The sequence below is a fragment of the Homo sapiens genome, chromosome 12 (genome assembly GCF_000001405.40).
Source record: "Homo sapiens chromosome 12, GRCh38.p14 Primary Assembly".
NCBI classification, from domain to species: domain Eukaryota; kingdom Metazoa; phylum Chordata; class Mammalia; order Primates; family Hominidae; genus Homo; species Homo sapiens.
Window position 1 is genome coordinate 112,837,142 of NC_000012.12, and position 12,145 is coordinate 112,849,286.

The 12,145-nt window shown below is 46.9% G+C and overlaps 1 protein-coding gene across 9 annotated transcripts in view; it reads left to right on the forward strand.

Annotated features, from left to right (window-relative positions):
* Positions 1-12,145, forward strand: part of RPH3A (rabphilin 3A) — a 323,646-nt gene that overhangs the window by 261,906 nt on the left and 49,595 nt on the right. For all 9 annotated transcript variants that reach the window (NR_145127.2, NR_145126.2, NM_001347952.2 and 6 more), the window contains one exon: positions 10,555-10,701. Coding sequence is in view for 7 of the 9 variants with exons in the window: in NM_001347952.2 (NP_001334881.1) it covers positions 10,555-10,701 (147 nt within the window). In the remaining 2 variants the exon portion in view is untranslated. The remainder of the gene's footprint in view (positions 1-10,554; positions 10,702-12,145) is intronic.

Sequence of the window (12,145 nt, forward strand, 5' to 3'; positions counted from 1 at the left end):
AAAGTCATTTTTACCTCTCTCCCCGCAATCATGGGACTCTGGGACTCACGGTCCCTGTGGCCTGGGACACAGCCCTTCAACTCCTTGAGCCTTGGTTATCTTGTTTGTAAAATAGGCACAATAACCCTGCCCCTCCCTCCTCACTGGCTGGTGGTGGGATCGAATGAGATGTTTGCAGGAAAGCTTTATCAACTGTAAAGCTTAACCAAACAAAGTTAGATGAAGGTGTGAATTACAGCCTTGCCTTACCCTTATGTTTATATAGGACTCTTGCACAACTTTTTCAGCTTTTTTTTTGGAGAAAAATAACATTATCAGGCCCAGAATGCTCTAAAGATTTAGTTAACACAGCTAATACTTAGCCAGGAGACCCAGGAAAATTCTTCTCCCTGCCCTGTGCCTCAGTTTCTCCATCTGTCAGGTGAGAGCTTTGAACAAGCTGCCTTGTAAAGACTATTTGAATGCTCTACAAGCTCTGTTTTTGGCTGGCAAGACCCTGGACAGGCAAGATCTGCTTTCTATGAAATCATGAATATATTATTCAGACATGCTGGAGAGAGATGCTGAGTCATTGTCAGATGACAAATATGAACATCACCAGAGAGAAGTTCATGACTCCAAAAGGTCTCAGGGTTCTTAGAGGCTTCATGAATGCTGCAGGTTGAAAGGTAGCATGTTCATCCTCTTCCCCTCTGTCCTTCATCCCCAGGCTCCTCCCCTCCTTCCCTCCCTCCTTCCCCCCTCCCTCCCTCCTTTCCTCCCTCCCTTCCTCCCTCCCTTCCTCTATTAATAAACACTTACCCCAAGTACCTACTAAATACCAAGCACCATGCTAAGCACCAGGGACACAGTTAGCCAAGTATAAAGATATGTCTAGTGGAGTCTACAAACAAATAAAGGGCCAGTCACCAACAAATACACTCTAGTATGTGCAGAGCTATAATCATAGAATCAGAGTGAACTGTGGAGCACAAAGACAGTCACCTAGCTCAGACCTGAGGGTGATGATGGAGAGCTTCCTGGAAGAAGTGATGTGTAAGCTGAGACCAGGAGAGGGAGGAGCACTACGTGGAGGAGACAGAGGAGTTCCCAGTGGGGGACACGGCATCTGCCAAGCCCAACTGTGAGAGAGAACATGGGATTTTATAAGAACAGAATGGAATTCAGTCTGGCTAAAAAGATTAACAGGACCCCCAGGTCCCGTTGGCATTCTGAGGATGTGGGGGACCCACAGCATCCCTTCTGCACTCCCATTAGTCTGGTTGGGGTAAATTTCATCCAAAGGGGCCTTTATACCAGCTGGGCATGGGCAAAAGGTTCTGTGGTGTGGCTGCCCCTCCTTTTCTTCAGGATTCATTAAAATCCCATTCACTGTGCTATAAAGAGACTTCCTGCAGACACCTGCCCATGTTGGCATCCAAGGGGAAGGGAGGGGGAGAAGAAGAAAGAAAAGAAAAAGGATTAATTTTCTGCACACCTCTGCTGTTGAATGCTTCAGAGCCTTCATGCCCCGACAGCATTTCCATCATCCCACTCCTTTAGGGAGTTATAATTTATTAATAGAGACATCTGGCGAGTATTTATTATGTGACTGTTGTGTGCATGCAATGAAGAATCAAGGTGGGAGGCAGGAAAGATATGGAAGGCTGTCCTTTGCCTTCCATTTTGCCCTGTTTGTATTTCAGGGGGAAACATCTATGAGGGCTTCTACCTGGAGTCTGGGCTAATTTCCTTTTGTCTCGGGGTCCACCAATGCTGGCCTTGGTGGGTGGCTTCATTCTGACCCCTCATGGTGCACCAGAGCAGGTGCCTTCAGGTAGCAGATGAAGCACATTGAGAAGGCCGGGGCCGGTTTCTCAAGTCCTGGACCATCCTCTCTCCAGTCATGATTCTTGGCAATTCCCTTTCTCCTTGTGAGTCTCAGGCATCTGGGAAAATGAGCAGGTTACCACAGTGGTCTTTAGACTTTTTCTTACCAGTGAAAGTCTTTCTTTGAATAATACTTTATTCAGAAGCTAAATCTTTGAGGCAGATAAGAGTGGAGCTGGATAAAGACCTTTAGTGGCTGAAAGCATTAAAAATATCATGGTAAACATTATACAACTGGAATTTAACATAATGCTAAACTGTAAAATAAGGGTAGGAAGTCTAACAAGTTTCACTCTTTTTTTTCTTTTTTTTTGCCATGGTGAATAATGTATCAACTTTCGCTGTGTAACAAACCATCTTAAAACTCAGTGACTTAGAACAGTTACTTGTTCTCAGGGATCTGGGCTTGGTGAGTGGCTCTGTGGACTTTGGCTAGGCTCATTTATGCATCAAAGGGTTGGCTGATCTAAGATGCCAGTGGCTGGAATGATACATTCTTTTCCACATGCCTCACCTTCCAACAGGATATCCTGGGTTTTCTCATGGTGATGACAGGGTATAAGAGTAAACAGAAACACACAAGGCCTTTGGAGGCATTGCCTCTGGACTAGTGCAACATCACTCCCCTGCATTTTATTTCCCACAGCAAGTCCTAAGTCTTGGCTAGATTTAAGGAGTAGGAAAATAGACTCTAGAGCCAGACGTGGTGGCTCATGCCCAGAATCCCAGCACTTTGGGAGGCCGAGATAGGCAGAGAGCCTGAGGTCAGGAATTCGAGACCAGCCTGGCCAACATGGTGAAATCCTGTCTCTACTGAAAATACAAAACACTATCTGGGTGTGGTGGTGCATGCCTGTAGTCCCAGCTACTCAGGAGGCTGACACAGGAGAATTGCTTGAACCCAGGAGGTGGAGGTTGCGGTGAGCCAAGACTGTGCCACTGCACTCCAGCCTGGGCAACCGAGTGAGACACCATCTCAAAAAAAAAGAAAAGAAAAGAAGATAGACCCTGACTCTTTGGTGATCAATTTCAAATTCACATGGCATAGGGCATGGATACAGAGAAGAGTGAAATATTAGGGACATCCTTATAATAAACCATATTTCATGCTTTTACTAAAATATTAAATATTAATTTTTTCCCCAATGTTTGTCGCTTTTTTTCTTTCTAAATTTTTAAATTTTTTTGACATAAAATAGTTTACATATTTTTGGGGTACATGTGATATTTTGGTACCTATATACAATGTGGAATAATCAAATCAGGGTAATAGAAATACGCATCACCTCAAACATTTATCATTTATTTGTGTTGAGAACATTTTAATTCTAATCTTCTAGTTATTTTGAAATATACAATAAAATATTGTTAATTGTAGTCATCCTATTCATTGTGCTACCAAATATTAGATCTTATTCCTTCTATCTATGAGTATTTTTGTACCCATTAACCATCCTGACTTTATTCCTTCCTTCCCTGGAAATGCAAATTCTCAAGCCCCACCGCAGACCTTCTGAACCCAAATTTCCGCAAAAGGCCCAGAAATCCGCATTCTGGCTGGCTCACCAAGTGGATCTTGGGCATGCTAAAGTTTGAGAAGTGATGAACTCTATCACAGGCTGCCCCTCTGCACTGCCCAGAGGCTTGCATAGGTTCAGACCAGTACCCAGATGGGGTTTACATTATCTTTTCCCAGTAAAGGCGTGTAGGTTCTACAGTGGGCAGTAAAATACCTTCTAAAATAATAATAGGTGTATTTCGGGTAGGGGCATACAACCAATTCCCCGCTTCCACCTCAAAGGCAGCTCTGAGCATTTCTTCCTGCAGCCAGGACATGGCACGTTGTTCTTTGCAGATTAGCCAGCGGTAGACAGGCCCTAGAGAGCCCCCAAGTTCTTCATCATCTGGTGGAAATGTGCTTGTTTCCATTCCCATTCACATCACACACACCATCAGCATTTTAAGCCAGTGATGGGCTGTTGGTGTCTCCATACTTTACATTCCCCTAATTAGACCAATCTACTGTGATCCTCAGAATGAAGCCCTGTTAAGCTTGGTGTGGTGATGCACACCTCTAGTCCCAGCTACTTGGAAGGCTGAGGTGGGAGGATTGCTTAAGCCCAGAAGCTTAAGCATGGGCAACATAACAAGACCTTGTTTCTTAAAAAAAAAAAAAAAAAAAAAGCCTCGTTGGAAAAAATATACAAACAAAAAAGATATTTGGAACCAACAGTCAAAGTTCCTGAGATTCATGCTTCCTCTAAACTCAAGAGCCACGGATAGTTAAGATGAGGGGGGCAGGGGGTCTGGAAGAGTTGACTATGGCCTGGGAGATAGAACGTGAGATTGGACCATCTGGCTGCCTTTTAGAAGGGCAGGATAGCATGGTGATTTGGAACGCAAGACATCCCTCCTGGAGTCGGCTTTGCTACTTCAAGCTGTGTGGCCTTAGGCAAGTGATTAACCTCTCTGAACCTTGGTACACTCGAGAGGAGAATAATGTTTACATCATAAGATATTGCAAAAATTCAACAAGAGAGTAAATGTAAACCCTATGATACAAATATTATTAACTCCATTTGACAGATGGATATTACAGTCCAGAGAGATAGAATACTTTCCCCAAAGTCACAGAGTGCCAGGGTTTGAATGCAGATTGATCTGAATCTAAAGCTTGAGTTTTTTTTGTTTTTTTGGTTTTTTTTTTTTTTCCATTGCATCCTAATATCTCAGTAGATTCTGGTCTGGGGTTAGTGTATCCAGATTGAGAAAGGAAATCTGGGAGCTGCAGGAAGGATTTGTCCAGGTTTCTGAAAGTTCATCTTCTCCAGCATTCATTCCTGCCACTTAAAGTCAGCTAGGTTAGTTGGTCTCTCTCTCCTTCTCTCTCTCTCTGTCCGTCTGTCTCTCTGTCTCTCTCTCCTGAATAGCTAAATCAACTAGGTTCATGTTTGTGCAGATAGGCAAGGAATTGATTTGGACACTGCTACTACCATGGCTTTGAGGTGTCAAAGAGTTTCCTGATTTCAAATGCCAGTCAGTGATCCAGGCTGTGCGTTTTGTTTCATTCCATTGGGTTCTTCCCACCCCTGGGTCAGTGACTCATTGTCTTCCCTACTCTTCCCTATCAAAACATTCTATTCATTCATTCTTTCTTCCATTCAGATTCAGTGCCCACTATATGTGCAGTGCTATTAGGTAATTTTTCACTGAATTGCCACTGTGGCAAGGATTTGACACACAGTTTCATACCAAAAATATTTAATAATAAGAAAAAGAAAACACAAGTTCAGCTTTTTGGAGCATTTACCAAGTCCTAGAATCTACACTAAACACTTTATATACATGGTCTAGTTGACCCTCATATGAGCTTGATGAGCTCACTAATAAGTATTCCCTTTAACAGATGAGGAAACTAAGGCTCAGAGATGCTATGTAACCTGTTCCTAAGGTTGCACATCCAGGCAGGGCAGTGCCAGAAAAGGAATCAGAGCTATATGACCCCAAAGCCTACTCCTGCGTCCCCTCTCTTAGGTTACTGTATCTTCATAGCAGCCAGGGCTGTCATTGTAGGCAGCCACCAGGTCTGCTTAGGTTGAAGGGCTACTCTGCCAGCAGCTAGCTAATGAGTTACTGTGAAAATGCCGGTACTCGCCTGGAGAGGCCGTCTCACGAAATGTGGAGTACGTATCAGTTTGCTTGCAAAGTTCCTGGTGCAATTCATCCCTCACTAAAAAGTTAGGGCATCCTGGTAGATTAAGAGGATGGTCACAATAGCAAGGGCTGCTGTGTCCTGGGCATTTGGCATGCACTTTCACATTTAATCTTCCCAAGGGCCCTGTGATGCATGCCCTATTAACATTCTCAATTAACAGACCAGGAAACTGAGGTGCAGAGTAGAGCAGAGGCCCAGCACATACTGCCAAGAAGTGTCAGACCCAGGATTCCACTCATTAACTCTGCCAAGTCAACAAGGGCTCAAATTGGCACATAGTAGGCCCTCTGGGTATTTTCTGGATTGGATACAATTCTCTAACTTGTCCAAGGGGAGCAATACTTTGGTCTCCGGCTTCGGTCTTTAACAAGATCCCAAAACTGGACACAGAGCTGCCATCCTGTATCCAGAAGCCCTTGGCAAGGGTCTTATCCCAAGGACCGATTCTTGAGGCCCTCGTGCCCACATCGCTCCTCGACTCAGGAAGACCTAAACAAGCCATTCTGTCCCCTGAGAGCAAAAGCTTTGGTCTGAAAAACTGATCTTGTTTCTGTCTGTTTGCTTCTGGAATTAAAACATGAAAATCCACAGGAGGCTTGCAGGTTCCCACTGAGACCAATCGGCGACATTTTCAAACACGATGAGCTGTTTGTCAACTATGTGTTCTGGAGCAGAGGATGGGGGAAGGGTTTGGAAAGGTGCCAGCAGCCTCCAGCAGGGCTGCTCATCTGCAGTCTGCAGATGGAGGCAATTATCCTAGGCGGGGCCTCTCGGAGACCCCCAGCTATGCTTATGTCTCTGGAGCCATGTGCGTTCAGATGCTTGCATTTCCTGTGCACAGTAACACCGGCAATGGTGTGGTGGTGGGGTGTGAGCCATTGACTTTAGGTCAGGCTGGCTCCTGACAAGATTGTAAGCTGCAGGAATGTGTCCTTGGAGGGTCTTCACTGGGAACTAAGCCTAGAATCTCACATGTGTTCAGTTTTGGTCACTGAGCTGCTTTGTAATGGCAGGAAATAAATAAAGGGGGATCAGCAGAGAAATCCAGGAAGAGACGTGGCGGCAAATAAGGGAGAATTAGGGGCAGGTGAAGTGTCCATTTCCATGAAAACTGGTGAGACTCGGGAGTGGCTGAATTCCATTATGACTGGGGCTCTTCGGGAAGGGTAGGTGATCTTCATTACACAGGAGTCCACTGTATCCTTTAAAAGTAATGGGAAGAAACAGCAGGCTGAGGGATATTGGCACACCAAATGGAAGATCTTCCCAACAGCATGGCACAGGCTCTGCATAAAGAGAGTGAGGCCTCCATCACAGGAGGCATTCAAGCAAGGATGGAAGGATATCTGTCAGGAATGCCACAGCAGGCAGATTTTAAAGTGATCCCCACCTCTTGGTGTTCATGCCTTTGTGTAATGCCCTGACCCTGGGTGTGGGCAGGACCTGAGCCTTGCTTCTAGCCTACAGAATACAGCAAAGGGGATGAGCTGTCACTCTTGGGATCACATTATGTTATATAAGACTCTGTCTCGGGTGACAAGAGCTAGAGATGCTCCTTGTGGACTTGATGAAGGAAGTGGCCCACAGGATGGGATCAGAGAGGTCCACACGATTAGGAAATGTAGGCAGCCTCTGGTAGCTGGGGTAGGGACTCTCTCAACAGCCAACAAAAGGCCATGGCCCTCAGTCATACAGCTGCAAGCAAATTAATTCTGCCAATGACACAAATTTGCTTAGAAGCTAATTCTTCCCCTATCAGGCCTCCAGATGAGAACATGGCCCAGCCCATACCTTGATTGCAGCCTTGTGAAATCCTGAGCAGAAGACCCAGTTAAGCCAAGCCCAGCCTCCTGACCCCTAGAAACTGTGAGAAAACAAATGTGTGTTAGTTTAAGCCCCCACATTTGTAAGAATGTGTCATGCAGCAATAGAACATGAATCCAGACACTGTGGGGAGGGTGCTACCAGTCTGTCTCTATCATCCTGCTGGACTGGGTTTCCTAGTTATCTGATAACAAATCATCTCAAAAAAGTGGCTTAAAATTATAGAAACCATTGATTATTCCTCACAATTTCTGTGAGTAGGAATAGGAGGGTGGCTTGGCTGGGCAGCCCTGACACAAGGTCACTCATGCAGCTGCAGACATGTCACCTGGGGCAGCAGTTATCTGAAGGCTTCATAGGGGATCGAGGAGCCACTCATGTAGCTGGCAGTTTGGTGCTAGCTGTTGGCTGGGGGCCTCAGTTCCCCTCCACGTGGGCCTCTCCATGGGGCTGTTTGAGTGTCCTCACAACATGGCGGCTGGCCAAGAGACCAAGGTGGATGCTTCAGTGTCTTTTATGACTTGGAAGCCACACAGCGTCACTTCCACTGTATTTAGTTGGTCACACCGGATCAGCCTTGATTCAGTATGGGAGGGGACTACACACAGGAGGGTATGAATAACAGGAGGCAGGGACCTCTGGGGACCATCCTAGAGGCTGGCCACCATACTGGTCTTCTTTCCCTCTAGCATGCTGCCTGCTTGCTCTACTCCAGCCTTTTTGCAGAGACCATTCCCTTTGCCAGACTCAATCTCTCCCCTCCCTTCCATCACGCCTTCAGCTTATCTTTGAGGTCTCAGCAGGAATCAGCCATGACTTTGTGGGGCCCAAAGCTTATATACTTAAGGGGCCCTCTTCAAGATCAAAAAGACAAAACCAGCTTGCTTCTGCAAACTTTCCTGATAACATGACCATTGCTAGGGCCCATCCTAGGGCCTCGGGAGGTACCTGTGCGAACAGGGGGCCCTGAAGCTTCATCTTCACCAGGATCACAATGAATTCTCCTCACTTGCTCAAGAAGCTCTGCCCAATCTCTAGGCTGAGTAACCTCCATTGCTTCTGTCTCCCTGCATGTCACCTGTATAATTAGGCATTTAACATCTCCTTTGGCCACTAGGGACCAGGTCTTATTCAAAAACTCTTTTTATGTACTTGCTGTCAGAGAATGATCTAAATGCATGGACACAATAGAGAACCAGGGCCAGATAAGGTCCGTGCCATCCTGTAATCTATGTTCTGGTGGGAGATAAAGGGGCAATAAATATATAACAAGAAAAAATTTAAAAGATAACTTCAGCTAGAGATGGGTGCAATGGAGAAAGTGAACCAGGGCAATGAGAGATCAAAGACAGCCTCTCTGAGACCAGGATGATGAGAGGGAAGATCCAGGGAGATAAGTGTTCCTGGCAGGGGGAACAGCAAGTGCAAAGGCCCTGAGGCAAAAAGAAGACTTGGGCATTTAAGATTGAGCAGAGAGGCCAGTGCAGCTGGAGCCTAGTGACCAGGGGGAGCAAGGGGCAATGAGGACAGAGGGGCAGGTAAAGGACGGACCAGGTAAGACTTTGCAGAATAAGCAAGAAGTCTGGATTTTATTTTTATTAAGGTAAAATTCACATACCCTAAAAGTAATCATTGTAAAGCATAAAATTCAGTGGCATTTAGTATCTTCGCAATGTTGTGCAACCATCCCTTCTGCCTAATTCTGAGTTTTATTCTAAGTCAATGAGACACCACTGGAGAGTTCTGAGCAAGGGGTTTGAGCAGTGTTATCATGTGCTCATCCCAGAGGCATCCCATCCAAGGGCACGCGTGGGAAGGCAAGGTGTGTTTCCACCAGAATTTCCCCAGGCAGCGTCCTCCTTCCCTTTCTGGAAACAAGACTTGCCCCAAGACATCTGCTTCCCTTTTCCTTCAAACTCTTCCTTCTCTGCTCTTCAGAGCAAGCTAGCTAAGGTGGGGGGATGGCAGAAGATGGGGAGGAGGGAGGAAGATGGGTTTTTAATTTCCAGCTTCCAATGTCAAAAGGCAATTTCATGCCTACTGCTGTGATTAGGCCAGCAGAAGGGACCAAGCCTGGCGGCTAATGGGGGGCAGGCTCCTGAGGATTCAGAGTTCCTGATTTTTCTCCCTCATAGGGACAAGAATTTCTAGTGGTGTTTACCCCTGCCTTCCACTCCAGTGATGCATCTCAGAGCCTTGGGTCATGGACCATGGTGTTAGTGGAGAGGATACTAATTTGTCATAGACCACAGCCTTAACTCTGTTCCCAGCAGCCTCTGATTCTCTGAACCATTGCCGGGGCCACAGATCCCATTCTTTCCGTCTCATGGAGGGTAACTGTGCAGGCTCCCTGGGTCTGAATCCTGCCCCTGCCACTTGCCAGCCATGCATCCTTGAGCAAGTGCTCTAATTTCTCCATGCCTCAGCCTCCTCACCAGGAAATAGGGACACAAACAGCCCCTGCCTTGTAGGGGTGATGTGAGGATTGAATGAGGTAATGCAGGCACACAGGGGACTTACATGAGAGATAATAAGCTGAGGCGGGCACACAGTGGGCATGTGTGAGAGATAATTAGGTAATGTGGGCACCAATAGATGTTATGTCAGTGTTCGCTTAAAAAGAAAAGGCAAAAAGAACACAAGATAGAACCCAAAATGTTACCAGAGACTTCGAGGCTGGAATTCTAGACATTTATGTGAATTCAAGAGATTTTTGGAGACCTAGTTGGCAACCAGTTTAAACTTATTTTAAAAAGCTATGTGGCCCCCAAAAGCCATCTCTCTGCCAGGCAGATGCTGTGGTCAACCTGGGACCCAGGACTTCAGACTTCCTGTCCTGAATCATTTCCACTCCAGTTGTAGAAGTCTACTGTTCTGGAATCTTTTTTGAAATATCTTTACCCTCCAGGTTTCCATGAGCTTGCTGAAAATGTCATGGAGTGTCTACTGTGTACTAAGCACATAGCAAAATAAACTCATTAGAAGCCTAAGAGGGAAGTATGTGTGTCCCATTGCAGAGAGGAGCAGATTGAAGCTCTGAGAGAGATGATCCTTTTGTCCACAGTTTCCCAGACAGTGAGTTTCCCGGCAGGAATTTGAACTACTATTTTCTGCCCACCCTCACACCTTCCCAAATTTCCTTTCAGGCTCCAGGCAGGCTGGTCCGTCCACCCCGGTGGTCAGCCTGACAGGCAGAGGAAGCAGGAAGAGCTGACTGATGAGGAGAAAGAAATCATCAACAGGGTGATTGCTCGAGCTGAGAAAATGGAAGAGATGGAGCAGGAGCGAATCGGGTGAGGCTTAACGCTTCCCATTCACCCCAGAGCTGCTGTGGCAGGAGGGTGTGCTGGGCTGGAGCAGGGCTTTGGCCTCAAACGGGGTGTGCTGGGCTGCCTCTGGGCTTTGCCATTTGTGACTTACGGGGCCACCTCCCCGCCCCACCCCCTTCCCCACTGGCAGACGTGGGATCTTTGTTGCATGAGTTGGGAGAGCTAGGAGAAGAGAAAAGGGACTAGAGGAGAGATTGGGCTGCGAGTGAGGAGGTTCTTGGCTGGGGGTGCATTGAAGAAGGGGCAGGGGGAGGGGTCTTGTGATAGGGAAAGAGGAGATGTCATTGGAGGCTGCAAGAAGCGGGGTGGGTGTGAGCATCAGGTGTCTCAGCTAATCACAGCTGCATAGGGATGTGTTCTGGAGATGAGAGCCATGTAGGTGTCAGAAGGTACAGCTGAGGGCAAGGTTAGGAGGACAGAGAGTAGGTAAAAAAGAGTGTGTAAAAGAGAGAGCATGTTTGAAATTAGTTACTTAAGACAATCGGAGAAACCAGTCCTATAACAGTCAGGCAGCATGTGAGTGAGGAAGCAGAGGTTAACCTGATGGGTCCAGACTCCAAGAACCCGGGGTCCCATGCCAGCTCCCCACTTGCCTGCTGTGGATCTTGGGCATGTTGCTTGACCTCTCTGAGCCCCAGTTTGCTTACTGGCAGAATGGGGGAAATAACAGTAATTATCCTATAAGACTCTTGTAAGTGTTGGGATGACACATGCACAGTTCCTGACCCAGGCTCTGGTGACACTATGTGTTTAATAAATGGTAGGAAGGAGGGGAAAGTGGGGCTCAGAGGGTGGGGATAATGAAAACATGTTTGGGAGAGAAGCAAGGCTTATAAGAAGGATGTGTGAAGAGTGGAAGAGAGTGACAAAATCAATGAGCAGGGACAGTACTGGAGAGCAAGGAGTGGCATGGGTGTGGGCTGGAGCTGGGGGACTGGGGAAAATGTGGGGCATCATCAGGGTGGGAGGAGTGACTGAGAGAAGGGAGTGAGGGTATGTGTTTGGAGGACTCTTGGTATAAATGGAGACTGGCTGCCGGGATACAGAGAGGCCACTGGAGTGGTCTTCCTAGACCCGAATATCAAACAGGAAATGGGAAGGCAGGTTGCTGGGATACCACCTCCACCCTATGCCCCTACCCAAGCCCTTCTGCCAGGGGAAGCCATTGCCAACTGCTTACAGCGGATTTGGGCACTGAGATGCCCACTGATTCCCTACCCAGACACTCAGCTGGGGGTTAACGAGGTTCTTGGATGGAAAATGATGCTCTGGGGATGCAGGAAGTGGATGCCTTTGATTTGAGCCTCTGCAGATAATTGCACTCAGGGCAGGCTAGGGAAATAGGGGGTGTTGTTGACAAGTGACAAACATCTGCCACAGGATGTGTCAGCTTCACACTTGGCCCTCT